The sequence below is a fragment of the Homo sapiens genome, chromosome 7 (genome assembly GCF_000001405.40).
Source record: "Homo sapiens chromosome 7, GRCh38.p14 Primary Assembly".
Classification (NCBI taxonomy): Eukaryota; Metazoa; Chordata; class Mammalia; order Primates; family Hominidae; genus Homo; species Homo sapiens.
This window is the reverse complement of record NC_000007.14, coordinates 40,152,265-40,170,264: the sequence shown is the minus strand read 5'-3', so window position 1 is coordinate 40,170,264 and position 18,000 is coordinate 40,152,265. Positions and strand designations below refer to the sequence as shown.

At 42.4% G+C, this 18,000-nt stretch overlaps 1 protein-coding gene and 1 pseudogene across 18 annotated transcripts in view; both read right to left on the bottom strand.

Moving 5' to 3' along the window:
* SUGCT (succinyl-CoA:glutarate-CoA transferase) overlaps window positions 1-18,000 on the bottom strand; it is a 903,812-nt gene that overhangs the window by 868,552 nt on the left and 17,260 nt on the right. The gene's annotated exons all lie outside the window — the stretch shown is intronic.
* THUMPD3P1 (THUMP domain containing 3 pseudogene 1) lies at window positions 15,901-17,839 on the bottom strand (annotated as a pseudogene).

The following is an 18,000-nucleotide window of genomic DNA, read 5'->3' as shown; positions in this document are numbered from 1 at the left end:
AAGTGCCGCCGTAACTGCAGCCCGAGAGTCTGGCGATCTCTGGTATCTCAGTCAGGTCAATGATAGGATGACAACAGAGGAAAGAGAATTATTCCCCACAGGCCAGCAGGCAGTTCCCACTGTAGACCCTCATTGGGACACAGAATCAGAACATGGAGATTGGTGCCACAGACATTTGCTAACTTGCATGCCAGAAGGACTAAGGAAAATTAGGAAGAAGCCTATAAATTATTCAATGATGTCCACTATAACACAAGGAAAAGAAGAGAGACTGCCTTTCTGGAGAGACTAAGGGAGGCATTGAGGAAGCATAGCTCTCTGTCACCTGACTCTATTGAAGGTCAACTAATCTTAAAGGATAAGTTTATCACTCAGTCAGTTGCAGACATTAGGAAAAAACTTCAGAAGTCCACGTTAGGCCCGGAGCAAAACTTAGAAACCCTATTGAACTTGGCAACCTCAGTTTTTATAATAGAGATCAGGAGGAGCAGGCAGAATGGGACAAATGGGATAAAAAAAAAAAAGGCCACCACTTAGTTGTGGCCCTCAGGCAAACGGACTTTGGAGGCTTTGGAAAAGCGAAAGGCTGGGCAAATCAAATGCCTAATAGGGCTTGCTTCCAGTGCAGTCCACAAGGACATTTTAAAAAAGATTGTCCGAATAGAAATAAGCCTCCCCTTCGTCCATGTCTATTATGTCAAGGGAATCACTGGAAGGCCCACTGCCCTAGGGGACAGTCCTGAGTCAGAAGCCACTAACCAGATGATCCAGCAGCAGGACTGAGGGTGCCCAGGGCAAGTGCCAGCCTATGCCATCACCCTCACAGAGCCCCAGGTATGCTTGACCATTAATGGCCAGGAAGTTAACTGTCTCCTGGACACTGGCACATTCTTCTCAGTCTTACTCTCCTGTCCCGGACAACTGTCCTCCAGATCTGTCACTATCCTAGGGGTCCTAGGACAGGCAGTCACTAGATACTTCTCCCAGCCACTAAGTTGTGACTGGGGAACTTTACTCTTTTCACATGGCTTTCTAATTATGCCTGAAAGCCCCACTTTGTTAGGGAGAGACATCCTAGCAAAAGCAGGGGCCATTTTACACTATAATTAGGAGAAGGAAAAAGGGTAAATATATATACAGACTCTAAGTGTGCTTACCTAGTCCTCCATGCCCACACAGCAATATGGAGAGAAAGGGAATTCCTAACTTCCGAGGGAACACCTATCAAATATCAGGAAGCCATTAGGAGATTATTATTGGCTGTACAGAAACCTAAAGAGGTGGTAGTCTTACACTGCTGGGGTCATCAGAAAGGAAAGAAAAGGGAAATAGAAGGGAACCACCAAGCAGATACCGAAGCCAAAAGATCCGCAAGGCGGGACCATCCATTAGAAATGCTTATAGAAGGACCCCTAGAGTATGGGGTAATCCCCTCCAGGAAACCAAGCCCCAGTACTCGGCAGAAGAAATAGAATGGGGAATCTCAAGAGAAAATAGTTTCCTCCCCTCAGGATGGCTAGCCGCCGAAGAAGGAAAAATACTTTTGCCTGCAGCTAACCAATGGAAATTACTTAAAACCCTTCACCAAACCTTTCACTTAGGCATTGATAGCACCCATCAGATGGCCAAATCATTATTTACTGGACCAGGCCTTTTAAAAACTGTCAAGCAGATAGTCAGGGCCTGTGAAGTGTGCTGAAGAAATAATCCCCTGCACTTTGCACTGCAGGCCATACATTTCAATCCCTGTATCTTTAACCTCCTTGTTAAGTTTATCTCTTCCAGAATAGAAGCTGTGAAGCTGTAAAACTACAAATTGTTCTTCAAATAGAGCCCCAGATGCAGTTCATGACTAAGATCTACCACGGACCCCTGGACCAGCCTGCTAGCACATGCTATGATGTTGATGACACCGAAGGCACCCCTCCTGAGGAAATCTCAACTGCATGACCCCTACTACGCCCCAATTCAGCAGGAAGCAGTTAGAGTGGTCATTGGCCAACCTCCCCTACAGCACTTGGGTTTTCCTGTTGGGGGGTACTGAGAGACAGGACTAGCTGGATTTCCTAGTCCAACTAAGAATTCCTAAGACTAGCTGGGAAGGTGACCACACCCACCTTTAAACACGGGGCTTCTAACTCAGCTCACATCCAACCAATCAGGTAGTAAAGAGGGCTCACTAAAATACAAATTAGGCTAAAAGCAGGAGGTAAAGAAATAAGTCAAATCATATATCGCCTGAGAGCACAGGGGAAGGGACAATGATTGGGATATAAACCCCAGGCATTTGAGCCGGGAGTGGGCAACCCCCTTTGGGTCCCCTCCCATTGTATGAGAGCTCTGTTTTCACTCTATTAAATCTTGCAACTGCACACTCTTCTGGTCCGTGATTTTTATAGCTCAAACTGAGCTTTGGCTCACTCTCCACCACTGCTGTTTGCTGCTGTCGCAGACCCGCCGCTGACTTCCACCCCTCCAGATCTGGCAGGGTGTCCGCTGTGTTTCTGATCCAGTGAGGCACCCATTGCCGCTCTCGACTGGGCTAAAGGCTCACCATTGTTCCTGCATTGCTAAGTGCCCAGGTTCATCCTAATCAAGCTGAACATTAGTCACTGGGTTCCACAGTTCTCTTCCGTGACCCACAGCTTATAATAGAGGTATAACACTCACTGCATGGCCCTAGGTTCCATTCCTTGGAATCCGTGAGGTCAAGAACCCCAGGTCAGAGAACAAAAGGCTTGCCGCCATCTTGGGAGCAGCCCACTCCATCTTAGGAGCAGCCTGCCACCATCTTGGGAGCTCTAAGAACAAAGACCCACCTGTAACAAAATCACCTCCACAATCAAGAAAGAGAACTTTCTAGCACCTAAAACTTTCCACCTGCCCTTTGCAAACTACCTCTTCCTCAATTTCCAGCTTCAGACATCCACTGATCTGCTTTCTGTCACTATAATTTAATTTTCATTATCTAGAATTTTATATAAATGAAAAACAGTATGTATTTTTGTGTCTGGCTTCTCTCTTTAAGCATAATGATTCTGAGTTTCATCACATTGTTGCATTTTTATGAGTACACTCTACTGTATGGATATACCACATTTGTTTATACATTCAGCTGTTGACGGACACTGAATTGGTTTTTAGGCTACAGTGAATCAAGATGCTGTGAACATTTGTGTACAAATCTTTGTGAGAACATGTCTTCATTTCTCTTGTGTAAATACTTAGCGGAATGGCTGAGTTATATGGTAAGTGCATGTATAGCTTTTTAAGAAACTGTCTAAACAGATTTCTAAAATGCTTATACCACACTGTATAAGAGTTCCATATGTTCCATATCTTTGAAAGATAGGAATTGTTCTTTTTTTTTTTTTTTTTGAGGTGGAGTCTCACTCTGTCACCCAGGCTGGAGTGCAGTGGCGCAATCTCGGCTCACTGCAACCTCCACCTCCTGGGTTCAAGCAATTCTTCTGCCTCAGCCTCCCAAGTAGCTGGAATTACAGGCACCCACCACCATGCCTGACTAATTTTTGTATTTTTAGTGGAGACAGGGTTTCATCATGTAGGCTAGGCTGCTCTCAAACTCCTGACCTCAGGTGATCTGCCTGCCTCAGCCTCCCAAAATGCTGGGATTACAGGTGGGAGCCACCATGCCCAGCCATGGAATTGTTTATTTTTTAATGTTAGCTGTTTGAATGGGCGTATAAAGGTTTCTTGTTGGGGTTTTAATTTGCATCTCACTCATGACTAATGATGTTGAATATCATTTCATGTAAATAGTTGGCCATTTAATGAAACAAAAACTTGTAAATTGAATTCATTTAATATCAGGTAATGGAATTTTATTATCTGATAAGACACTCAGAAAGGACTTCTAGAGTATATTTAAGTCAAAATGAATGAGTGAGTTTTAAATCATTAAAAGTCAGACTGCCTGGATTCGACTCCCTGCTCTACTATATAAGAGCTCAGTGACATTGCATGAGGTAACTCCACTTCTCAAAGCTTCCCTTTCCTCATCTGAAGCACCTGTCTCATGGAGTTTGCAAGTTTTAAATGAAATGTTGTATATAAAGTGTTTAGTATACCCCCAGCATAAAGTAAATGCCACTAAAAGCTGCAATTGTTATTTTTATTTTTTTAAAGATGGAGTCTAGCTCTGTCACCCAGGCTGGAGTGCAGAGGCACAATCTCGGCTCCCTGCAACCTCCACCTCCCGGGTTCAAGTGATTCTCCTGCCTCAGCCTCCTGAGTAGCTGGGATTACAGGCGTGTGCCACCACATCCAGCAAATTTTTATATATTTTTTGTAGAGATGGGGTTTCACCATATTGGCCAGGCTGGTCTTTAATTCCTGATCTTAAGTGATCCACCAGCCTCGGCCTCCCAAAGTTCTGCGGTCATAGGCATGAGCCACCCACCACACCTGGCCTGCAATTGTTATGATTATCATCATTATCATATATGTATTATACAGTCACATGATCTATTACAGCAAATAACTTCTTGTTTGAAAACAAGAAAAGATAAACATATGATTATTCTAAGGAACAGGAAAAAAATCACTTCTTAATGCGCTATACTTAAAAAGTATATCTAGAGTCAAATTTTGCATATTTCTGAAAGAACTGATGGGCTGGGTGGGAGTAGGGGATGATTACAAGGCATGAAACAGTTGGAAAAGGCATAAATTGTAATGTAATTTGTTGAAATATATTGAGCAGCTTGTATATCTCTCTGTCTTTTTGGCCTCTAGTATGGAAAGCTATTATGATGATACAGCTGGTCAACCATGCAAAGAAGTATAATTATAATGAAGCTGCCATCAATTCTATGCTTGCCAAAGCTGCTTGGTAGGACTCCCCTGGTACTTGGCCCTGGGGTTTAGACGACACAAATAAACTTGAGCAACACCAGAGCAGGGATAATTGACAGATGCCCACACAAGTGGTTCATCTGTGTGACAGGAATCATGGCATCCCTTCCCACCCATACTAGCCAACTATTGAGATTAAAAAAAAATTCTTAAAGGCCAAGTCACAAAACAAACTGCTCAAATAGCAATATGAAACAGAAACCTGTGATATACACCAAAATAATTTTTTAATTTGATGATTTACAGAGAATTTAACCACCAGACCTTATGCATGAGGAGGCAGAAAATGGGCCTCTCTTCAAAGCATGCTCTCTTAATCTGCTGAAGCTTTATCTATAATAGTTAGCATGATGTTTCCTTTCCAGCATGTGTCTGAAGTCACAGAAGAAGCTCTGTTCCTAACAACCTAGTTTGATAGGAAATTTTAGGAGTGGAGGGTACCTGGAAAATTAGTATCCACTGGAAGACATTCCAGGGAAATAATAATTTGGGAGTCAGCAGGCAATAATTGTTTTCAATTTCTAGGTTCATGGGAAATAAGAAATGAGGTTCGTGGAAAAGGAGAGTAAAAGATCTTCATGGACTCAAGGAGGCTTCAATTCTGTTCATCATGGAAATTCATGAGTATGTATTGACGGATTAATTATTGTCTCATCATCATCCACTTTATTCCTCTTTAACACAATCACTCACAAAAGAATCACATCGAGATGATAATTTTTAATTAGATTTCTTTTTCTGAAATCTCTGGAGGCAGAGGGGACATGAATTTTCAGCATCAAATGTTTATGCATAATAAAAAACAAAATAGGAATTCACCTTCCAATTCAACTAATTAATATTAATTTTCTGAAGCCTCTGTTACATTAATAAAGTAAATACAGAGACACAACAAAAACAGAAAAAAAAATCCTCAACTTTTGCAATTAATTTCCATGTTTTCTCTTTACATAAACAATTCAGGCCGGGCGCAGTGGCTCATGCCTGTAATCCCAGCACTTTGGGAGGCCAAGGCAGGCAGATCACAAGGTCAGCAGTTTGAGACCAGCTTGGCCAATATGGTGAAACCTCATCTCTACTAAAAATACAAAAAAATTAGCTGGGCATGGTGGAAGGTGCCTGTAGTCCCTGCTACTTGGGAGGCTGAGGCAGGAGAATCGCTTGAACCCAGGAGGAGAAGGTTGCAGTAAGCAAGCCAATATTGCGCCACTGCACTCCAGTCTGCATGACAGAACGAGACTCCGTCTCAAAAAAAAAAAAAAAAGTCAAGGGTCAGGCATGGTGGCTCACGCCTATAATCCCAGGACTTTGGGGGGCCGAGGTGGACAGATCGCCTGAGGCCAGGAGTTCGAGACCATCCTGGCCAACTAGTGAAACCCCATCTCTACTAAAATACAAAAATTAACTGGGTGTGGTGGTGCATGCCTGCAGTCCCAGCTATCTGGGAGACTGAGGCAGAAGAATTGCTCAAACCCAGGACGTGGAGACTGCAGTGAGCTGAGATCATGCCACTGCCCTTCAGTCTGGGTGACAGAGCTAGACTCTGTCTAAAAAAAAAAAAAAAATTCAATTCAAAAAATTAAGAAAATAGAGCTAAAGAAAATTGACAAAATTGAAATCACTCATTTTTTCGTCACTTAAAGGTAATAATTGGTAGTGTTTTGGGTATAAATCCTTTCAGAGATAGACAAGTGGGTGGCTGCATACACAGATGCACCATTTTTGTTCAAAAAAACTAATCTGTGCTAGATATTATATAATAACCTGCTTTTTTTTTTTTTTTCTGAGACAGAGTCTCGCTCTATCACCCAGGCTGGAGTGCAGTGGCGCGATCTCAGCTCACTGCATCCTCCGCCTCCACAGTTCAAGTGTTTCTCCTGCCTCAGCCTCCCGAGTAGCTGGGACTACAGGTGCGCGCCACCACGCCCGGCTAATTTTTTGTATTTGTAGTAGAGATGGGGTTTCACCGTGTTAGCCAGGATGGTCTTGATCTCCTGACCTTGTAATCTGCCCACCTCGACCTCCCAAAGTGCTGGGATTACAGGTGTGAGCAACTATGCCCAGCCAACACTACTTTTTTAATAAAAGCTTGAGAAATTTGCAGATAGTACAAAAAGGCCAGAAAAAGAACTTTTGAATCATGGTTAAAGCATGTCACAATCAAAGTACAACTCAGTGCTAATCCCAAATCTCACTGCTCTTCCACATTTTCCAGCTTCTCTTGCAATTATGTTGGAGTCAAATGACTTCGATCTTGCCAGTGAAACACAGGCAAAAATAATAAAAGCCATTTCCAACTCTGACCTTTAAAAACACCCCATGAAATCCTCCAGGCCTCTACTCTCCTTAGAGCCCACAAATTTCAAATAGTGTAGCTACACATGTAAGATGTTTTTATTGTATTGAGCAACTGAGATTGGGCTAATTTGTACTGCAGCACAACCCCGCCAGTCCTGCCCAATAAAGATGCCAGGCATCAGAGGCAGCATGAGTTCTGAATGAGTTACCACCATCAACAACTAGGATGTCTATTTCAGGGTAGACTGTTTCACTGTCCTTTTAGTGGCAATCTTCAAATTGGAATATGTGAAGAATTCCCTAAGGGCTGGGCGAGGTGACTCACATCTGTAATCCCAACATTTGGAAGGCCAAGGTGGGAGTGTCACTTGAGCCCTGGAGTTTGAGACCAACCAGCACAACATAGCAAGATGCCATCTTTGCCAAATAAAAATAAAAAGTAAAAAAGTCAGCTGGGAATGATGGTGCATGCCTGTGGTCCCAGCTACTCAGGAGGCTGACGTGGAAGGATCACTTGAGCCCAGCAGGTCAAGGCTGCAATGAGCTATGATGGCATCACTGCACTCCAGCCTGGGCAACAGAGGAAGACCCTGTCTAACAAAAAAGGAAAATACTTGCCTAAGGGATGCATGAATCATTTCAGTAAATCAATTTCCAGATCTTCAACTTCCATAGGTATTCTTTCCTACAATTGATCAACCTGTAAGTAAGCCTTCTTTCACAATAAGCCTTCTCCTACAAGGCAAAGGAAAGCAGATTCCTAACATATCCCAGATCTTATTCTCACCTTGGTTTACAGTATAAAATTTACATAAGCGATGACAACTTTAAAATATCAACTTAAAATATGCAAATAATTCCTTTTCAAATCATTTAGGATTTGAAAATCACTTCACGGCCGGGCGCGGTAGCTCATGCCTGTAATCCCAGAGCTTTGGGAGGCCGAGGCGGGCGGATCACGAGGTCAGGAGATCGAGACCATCCTGCCCAACATGGTGAAACCCCGTCTCTACTAAAAATACAAAAAATTAGCTGGGCATAGTGGTGGGCGCCTGTAATCCCAGCTACTTGGGAGGCTGAGGCAGGAGAATGGCTTGAACCCGGGAGGCGGAGGTTGCAATGAGCCAAGATCGCACCACTGCACTCCAGCCTGGTGACAGAGCAAGAGTCTGTCTCAAAAAAATAAAAAAGAAAATCACCTCAAATTGGTATGTGGAAGGGTACAAAATGGTACCAATTTATAGATTTTATAAATCAACCTACAGTTATAGAATGCACAACCAAAAGTCAACAAGTCAAAGGAAAAAACTTAGGTGTTCAGGCTTCTTTAACGGGCCATCCTGAAGTTAGCTGTCCAGAGGATTAGAAGGGATTGAACCAGAAACTGGAGGGGAAATGATCACTGCAAATTACTATTCAATATAAGAATGCTCACAAACCCAAAAGATCCCTGGAATTTCTCAACATTGGTGACGTGATTCTCCTACGGAGAAGACTGACCAAAAGGAAGACTTTAGTGCAAACAAGAAAAATGCATCCCATCCAGGGGAAAACTGGCAAAGTAGTGACCATTCTAGGTTGGTTGATCAAACAACTTCATAGGTACTTAAGGAGAATTATAATTGTCACAGCAAAAAAAATATGCATGGGGTGGATGAAGACAGTGGAGTGTTGCAGTGTTAAGAGTGTGAATACAAAGAGCCTCTTGACACAAAAAAATATAGAGAGAGCCCATTCCATGGAATAGTTTAGATATTTAACACGGAGGAATAGAAGGGAAAGGAAGAGGCAGCTTGGAAGAAACGTGGGGGCGATACATATGTGAGAGATTTGTTTTATGATTTGATTTTGTTTTTAACAGCTTCCAGTGAGCAACTCTGAAGAGCAAGAGAAATGTCTGGAGAGAAGTTTAGAAATTTCTATGTGCTGGACTAAGGTATCCTCCCAGAGACTTCTCTTCAGGTAGTAAAGGTAAAAATTAGTCTTTAGTGCTTTCAGAGTTTTTGGAGATAGAGAAGGGGAAGCAAAGAACTTGCTTCCAAAGACAGAGGTAGGCTTTAAAGTGGCCTAGCCATATTCATGTTATGAATTCCTTAATACTCTTAATACATATTATCAAACCGTCCACCAAAAAGGGTATATATAATATTATATATATGTGTGTGTGTGTATATATCAGTATGCTATGAAAATCATGTTCTCTATCATCTTCCATAACCCTAAACATAATCTCCTGGGTTTGTGGAGTTTTTGTTTGTTTGCTGCAACCTAACAGTTAAAAATTTGCATGTCACTATTATTTTAATTTGTACTTATTTAATGACTTCTGAAATTGAACATCTTTTAAATCTGCTCTTTTTATATCTTCTCTTATAAATTATTCTTGATGTTGGTCCATATTTCTACATGCACATTTATCTTTTTCTTATAGGTTTATATGAATTATACATACACTAAGAATATTAATCTTTTATCAGTCATATTTAGTAAAAGTAATTTTTCCCTATCTGCTCTTCACTTTTCAAAGGTGTTTTAAGATTTCATGTTTTAAAAAAATCATTTCATCTGGGCATGGTGGCTCACGCCTGTAATCCCAGCACTTTAGAAAGCCAAGGAGGGTGGATCACCTGAGGTCAGGAGCTTGAGACCAGCCTGACCAACATGGTGAAACTCCGTCTCTACTAAAAACACAAAAATTAGCCGGGCATGGTGGCGTATGCCTGTAATCCCAGCTACTTGGGAGGCTGAGGCAGAAGAATCGCTTGAACCCGGGAGCAAGAGGTTGCAGTGAGCCGAGATCATACCACTGCACTCCATCCTGGGCGACAAAGCGGGTCTCCATCTCAAAAAAAAAGAAAAAAATTATTTTATGGTTTCTGCCTTTGGAATTGTTTCAGGGTTTCCCAAGACCACCCATATTTTCAGTGATTTGCTAGGAGGATCCACAGGACCTAACCATCTGGTTGTATACAGAGCTAAGGTTTACTACAGCAAAATGACATATGACAGGACCAACAAGAGGAAAAGACACAGGTAGAGATGGAAAAAATTCATGCCATGCAGAGGCTGCTTATGTTCTTTTGCTCTCATGGAAGGCCATATCAAGCATGCTTCTTTCTCCAGCAACAACAAAAAATAGATATAGAAACACACAAAGTTTCTGCCCAGGGAAACCCATTAGAGACTCAGAACCTAGGTTTTCACTGAAGACTATTTACATAGGCACTCTCTGCATACCATGTAGCACAATTCCAGACTCCCTCCCAGAAGAAAGGTAGGTGTTTACCATTGTTGAGGCACAGAAGCCACACCCAAAATGTAGGCATCACAGCAGCCTCAGAAGCCAAAGTTTTTCTCTGACCTCCTGCCTTCCTATCTCTCAGTCCCATGCTCCTCTGAGGATAGCTATAAAAACTAGAATCCGGCCAGGCACGGTGGCTCACACCTGTAATTCCAGCACTTTGGGAGGCCGAGGTGGGCAGATAACAAGGTCAGGAGATCGAGACCATCCTGGCCAACATGGTGAATCCTCGTCTCTACTAAAATAAGAAAAATTAGCCAGGCGTGGTGGTGCGTGCCTGTAGTCCCAGCTACTCAGGAGGCTGAGGCAGGGGAATCGCTTGAACCCAGGAGGCAGAGATTGTAGTGAGCCGATATCATATCACTGCACTCCAGCCTGGCAACACAGCGAGACTCAGTCTCAAAACAAACAAACAACGACAACAATTAAAAAAAACTAGAATCCCTCTTCCCTAAGAAGGGTCACAGAAACCAGACCTCTTTTCGCCAATGCCAGCCACAAAACCTAAAAATACTACTCCAATTGTCTCTCTGCCACATCTGTGTAAAAACCGGACATAAAGAAATTATCTGGCCAGGCGTGGTGGCTCACACCTATAATCCCAGCACTTTGGGATGCCAAGGCAGGCGGATCACTTGAGCACAGGAATTGGAGACCGGCCTCAGCAATATGAGGAAACCCTGTCTCTATAAAAAAAATACAAAAAAATTAGTCAAGCCTGGTGGCACATGCCTGTAATCCCAGCTACTCAGCAGGCTGAGGTAGGAGGATCACTTGAGCCAGTGAGGTCAAGGCTGCAATGAGCTGTGATCATGCCACTGCACTTCATCCTAGGCAATAGAGCCAGACCCTGTCTCAAGAAATACAATTTTAAAAAGAGATCTCTATTTTTCCTTGCTTTCTGTTTTCCTAAATATTTCACATTTTTTGCAAAATGTATCCATCATTTTAACAATTGAAAAAATACAAATATGTAAATGCTAGGGACATAAAAATTTTATTTACTCATTTTATTTATTTATTTTACTTATTTATTTATTTGAGACAGACTCTCACTCTGTTACCCAGGCTGGAGTGAAGTGGCACAATCTCAGCTCACTGCAACCTCTGCCCCCCGGGTTCAAGCAATTCTCCTGTCTCAGCCTCCCGAGTAGTTCGGCCTACAGGCACATGCCACCACGCCCGGCTAATTTTTGTATTTTTAGTAGAGATGGGTTTCACTACATTGGTCAGGCTGGTCTTGAACTTCTGACCTCAGGTGATCTGCCTGCCTCGGCCTCCCAAAGTGCTGGGATTACAGGCGTGAGCCACCACACTCAGCCATATTTACTCATTTTTAAATAAACTTTTAGTCTTGTATCTAGAAAACAATATTCCTACTCTATGTCTCTTCATATAGAAATAATCTGTCAGCAATTTTATTATTTTCAGTGAAAAACTTTTATAAGCATAACTTAATGCATTAATACCTGTGTTACACTTGGGTGAGGAATATTAGTCTACAAAGAAGTAAATATGTATAAAACATTTCTCTTGTGCTTGACTACCTTGCATAATTGGAAATGAAAATATCACATTTTTTTTTTTTGGATACAGAGTCTTGCTCTGTCACCCAGGCTGGAGTGCAGTGGTACGCTCTCGGCTCACTGCAACCTCCACCTCCCGGGTTCAATCTCCTGCCTCAGCCTCCTGAGTAGCTGGGATTACAGACACGCACAACCATACCTGGCTAATTTTTGTATTTTTAATAAAGACGGGATTCCACCATGTTGGCCAGGCTGGTCTTGAACTCTTGACCTCGTGATCTGCCTGCCTCAGCCTCCCAAAGTGCTGGCATTACAGGCGTGAGCAACTGTGCCTGGCCCCAAAATACCACATTTTAATGAAGCAGTAGAATTTGACTCTCGGAAACCCTTTAAAACAAGCCACTTCTAATTCTCCCTTTATCAATGAGATCATTATTTAAGTGACAGTTAAGCAATCTACTGTGTTCAGTGCAGGTCTAACCCTATCAACGAGTGAGCTAATCACATCCTACAGAAGCATTTACTTTTCCACTATTAGTAGCCTTTAACATGAAACAGCTAACAATAAGCACCTCTATAAGGAAAACTGATATAATCTGAAAAGTTTTAGGAATACTAAGGTAAAGCTTAAACCTGAAGTATACATACAATCATTTCTGTACAGAGAAATTATTAAGTATATTCTCCTAAGAAGTATTTTACATTAAAAATATTTAAGTTTTTAATCTCTATATTGATTCATTCTTGTAACCTGAAAGTAAACACAAAGTTTCTGGAGCAGAGATCAGAGTTATTATTACTTAAGTCAAGACATACATCATTTTCCCATACCTAATACCCCATAGACAATGCAATGAAAACCCATTGATAGGTAAGGGTTGAACCACAGGAGAAGAATCCCAAAATTTTGAATCTGTAGGTTTGTACAGGATAACTGCCCAGCTGCCGCCTTCGCCTGAGAAAGTGAAAGAAAGCAATCTACCTATGGTAAGCAAATTCTGCTTGGGAAGAAAAGGGGAAGATCCCTGGGATCTTACCCTTTGGAACATAAATAAATGTCTCCAGGAGAAGGTAAGATAAGCGTTACTGGGTTTACGATCTTGGGAATGCCTCCAACACTCTGGGTTTTATATCCCTTAAGTCATCTTTTAACTTCCAAGGCTTGTCTTTTAACCCAGGTTCTACTTTTCTATGCTCAGAAAGCCCTGACCATGCAGAAACATGAAAATATTTACCTTTTTTTTTTTTTTTTGAGACAGTCTTGCTCTGTCACCCAGGCTGAAGTACAGTGGTGCCATCTCGGCTCACTGCAAGCTCTGCCTCCCGAGTTCAAGCGATTCTCGTACCTCAGCCTCTGAGTAGCTGGGTTTACAGATGTGTGCCAACACGCCCGGCTAATTTCTGTATTTTTAGTAGAGACGGGGGTTTCACCACGTTGGCCAGGCTGGTCTCGAACTCCTGACCTCAAGTAAACCACCATGTCCAGCCAATATTTACTTCTTAATAACACATAGTGAAACTAACCAACAATTTCTATTTGTAGCACTGGTTAATACCTGACATCTACCTAAAATAGTGGCTTTCAAACCCTTTCTGCAGAGCCTTGGGAATTCCTCAGAGGTGCCACCAGGAGCCACCACCTCAGAGGTGGTGAAGGGGTAGGAGGGTAGTTAAAATAGGAGTACAGAGTGAGCAGGGCTCTGGGACTCCAATTCCTCCTTTGAATACAGCCCATTTGCTCATATATTGGGCTTCCAAGTGTAGTTTTTTAAGACAAGGCACTAAAAATCTTCTATTTCTTTGAGGCAGAGTCTCACTCTGTCGCCCAGGCTGGAGTGCAGTAGCGTGATCTCGGTTCACTGCAAGCTCCACCTCCCGGGTTCACGCCATTCTCCTGCCTCAGCCTCCTGAGTAGCTGCGACTACAGGTGCCCTTCACCACGCCGGGCTAATTTTTTGTATTTTTAGTAGAGACGGGGTTTCACTGTGTTAGCCAGGATGCTCTCGATCTCCTGACCTCGTGATCCGCCTACCTTGGCCTTCCAAAGTTCTGGGATTATAGGTGTGAGCCACCACGCCCAGTCAGCACTAAAAATCTTAGGTATCCTAGACCAGGCACAGTGGCTCACACCTGTAATCCCAACACTTTGGTAGGCTGAGGCAGGTGGATCACTTCAGGTCAGGAGTTCGAGACCAGCCTGGCCAACATGGTGAAACCCCGTCCCTACTAAAAACACAAAAATTAGCCGGGCATGGTGGCGTACACCTGTGATCCCAGATACTCAGAAGCTGAGGCAGGAGAATGGCTTGAACCCCGGAGGTGGAGGTTGCAGTGAGCCAGGATTGTGCCGCTGCACTCTAGCCTGGGCTACAGAGGGAGACTCTATCTCAAAAAAAAAAAAAAAAAAAATCTTAGGTATCCTAAGTAAAAATCCTCAGCCTCACAGAAATAGACAAGGTCCCATTTACATTTATACTTAAATTTTCTTGTCTTGTTACCCTTACTTGCATTAAAGCAGAACTTCTAAACACACACCACCACATCATTAATAACCAATTATTAACAATAATAACCAATTATTTATGGGGCTCCCCAAGAGGCTTGGGTGCTCAAATGTTCCTTGATGGTTTTTTTGTCTGATGATGTCTTCTGTATACAATGTCACTTGAAGATAGCCCCTAGCCACTGGAAGCATATTTCCTAAAAGCACTGCCTTATCCAGGATCTTGTCTTCTAATGTTGGGCCTCCTTCAACAGTGCTACAAGGATCTTTTTGTGGGAACCATACCTATGTTGCTCACAAAAACGAGCAGTGTCCTTTTCCCTTAGCTCAGAGGACAGCCACCATAAGCTCACATGCATCATCCCAGTTCTTCATTTGTCCTTTTTTTTTTTTTCACTGGAAGAAAACATTTCTTTTAATTTGCTTTGTGGGTCCCACACCTCAAATACCAATGTGTCTGCTATTTTTTTTTTTTTTGAGATGGGGTCTCGCCCTGTTGCCCAGGCTGGAGTGCAGTGGCGCAATCTTGGCTCACTGCAACCTCCGCCTCCCAGGTTCAAGTGATTCTCCTGTCTCAGCCTCCCAAGTAGCTGGAATTACAGGCATGCGCCACTACACCCAGCTAATTTTTTTATTTTTAGTAGAGACGGGGTTTCCCATGTTGGCGAGGCTGGTCTCCAACTCCTGACCTCAGGTGATCACCCACCTCGGCCTCCCAAAGTTATGGGATTACAGGCGTGAGCCACCACGCCCTGCCTCTGCTGTTTACAAATAGTAATGCTCTATGCTACTACTAACAGTATTTTTGCAATCCCTTTGATAAATCCTAGTCCTCTATTTTAGTTCTGAATAACAGATGCATATTAATCTGAATAACAGATGTGCATTTTAATTTTTAAGGCAGATGGTAAACTTTCCTATAGGACTTGTGAGATTTCATCTTATGGGGCAAACATTGTTCACAAAATGCAATACTTCACTTCTAGAGTTAAAGAATTTGAGCAACTGAATAGCACAGATACGCAGGCAATGAAATGTGGCCTAAGATGTAATTATGTTCTCTGCCTTTCCTTTAGGCCAGAGTAGCTTTCCGCTTGGCAAAATAGAAAACAGGCCGTAAAGCCTGAAAATAGGTCAGGTGTTGTGGCTCACACCTGTAATCCCAAAACTTTGGGAGGATTGCTTGAGCCCAGGAGTTCAAGACCAGCCTGGGCAACATGGTGAGACCCCTATCTCTACAAAAAACTATAATATTAAAAAAAAAGTTTTAAGCCTGAAAATAAAACGTTCTACACCCAAATCTCAGAGCGTTTTACTAGGCTTTTCACTAGGCATCTTTAAAAGCATTTTAAGCAAAATACTAATTGCCCAAAACACAAAACAGTGCCAAGGAAAAGCTCTGCTTTCTCATAAGACTTTTTCAATCCCATTACATTACATTACATTCACATCTTTTGCCAACTAGAGTGAAGAGCTCTGAACAGGTTTAAAGAGTGCACACTGCACTTTTTTAAATACTATTTTGCTCTCAAAGCAAGTTCTTCATGCTGACATTTCCAGTGTTGGGAAGTACGAGTACTATTAGTTAGCTTCAATCTTTGCATTACCAGAGCTCCTGTTTCTCCATCTTGTTCTGAAGGATGAACAAAAGCTTGAGGTGTACATTTCAAAATATAAACTGCAGCACAAAGACCCCCAATGTTCACCCGAACTGTATCCACTTTTCACCATACACATCACATGCCAGATAATGCTTTGGTAAAGCATTTCGCGTCCTGAGTACATCGTACAGCTTGGCCTGTTGTAGGTGTACACAGACGCAACTCATCTCCCATAGGCAAGGTGGATGAAGGTTCCAGTTTCTCTTCTTGGATCCCATCTTTTTTCCAAATGGCAAATCTGCCACAATAATATCCACAGAGCCAGTTCTTAATGGCATATTGCATTTATCCCATTGAACAGCATCTATGGGCAAGGATGGTTAGCCTTCTTTAATTTGGCTCTTGGTCAATAAAGATGTGATGTTGTTTGCTGCTCTATTCACAACCAGAGGATTATTATCACCAGAATATAACGTGAAAACATTAAGTAGTCCCCTCTATTGGTATTGCCCCTGTTCCACACATTGGATCGACTATTATAACATAAGGTAGCAGACCACAGAGGCTGAGTATCCCAGGGGTAAGAGTTGATAGGTCCAAAATGTGCCCATAGGTCCAAAATGTTGATAGGTACAAAAGAGTCATAGGTCCAAAATGTGTGATACGTCTTCAGTGGAGACTCGCTTTAGTCAATGCCATGCCCACAGTGATTTCATTATCATGGATATTCAAAAGAATCGCAACATCAAATTGGTCATGTCGGCCTTCCACTTAAAATAGCCTTAAACATCACCCCCAGAATCTCTTCCAGTCTCATTTGAGGGAAAGCAGTATTTCTCTCCTACTCTGTTGCACATGACTCTAAACTTTACACTTGAGGCTCAGTTTCTTCTTTTTTGCTTTCATCAGTCTCATCTCTGCAAGATGCCAAATCATCACCTACTAATGTTGCTATCTCCTTTGATGGCTGGAGTTTCACAATAATCTAAGATGTGTGAATCTAAAACATTGTAGTGAATGAACTCTTTTTTTTAACATCTCTTTCATCTGTTTGGACTTCTTGTCCATCATGAACCTTCCTTTTACTTGAATTCTGAATTATCTTTTTGAGCTTTGTTTTTGTTTGTTTGTTTGTTCCTTAAAATCAACATTAATTGGCTGGGCGCAGTGGCTCACGCCTGTAATCCCAGCAGTTTGGGAGGCCGAGATGGGCAGATCACAAGGTCAGGAGTTCGAGACCAGCCTGGCCAATATGGTGAAACCCTGTCTCTACTAAAAACACAAATACAAAAATTAGCCGGGCACGGTGGTGGGCGCTTGTAGTCCCAGCTACTCAGGAGGCTGAGGCAGGAGAATCACTTGAACCAGGGAGGTGGAGTTTGTGCAGTGAGCCAAGATCGCACCACTGCACTCCAGCCTGGCCAACACAACAAGACTCCATCTCAAAAAAAAAAAAACACCTTAATTTTCCATAAAATTAAAGTGTTTGACCACGGGAGTTTTCCAGCCAAGTCTTCAAAATCCTTTAGAATTTCTTTGTTTTTCTAAACTAGTAATCTTAAAACTCCTGAACAACCACAAATAAGTTATCAACCGATCTCGGACAATAAACCTAAGCCAAATTTTCACTGAAATGACAAAATATATCTTGCCATGGTCTCTGCTGATTGTATGGTGACCCCAATTTGTCTCTCACTTCTTCCACAGCTGTTTGCTCAAAGCTGGCTCCAATAGTTGAAATCACCTTGATGAAAACTAAAACAGTGAGAAAGTCACAACAGAGAAAGGGATCTGACCTAACCAACTCCATCTTGGTTCTAACCTCCAGGCTGCCCTTGTTTATTCCTGGGCATAGGCTGAACTATCTTTGGGTGGAACTTAAAGTTGAACTTTGAA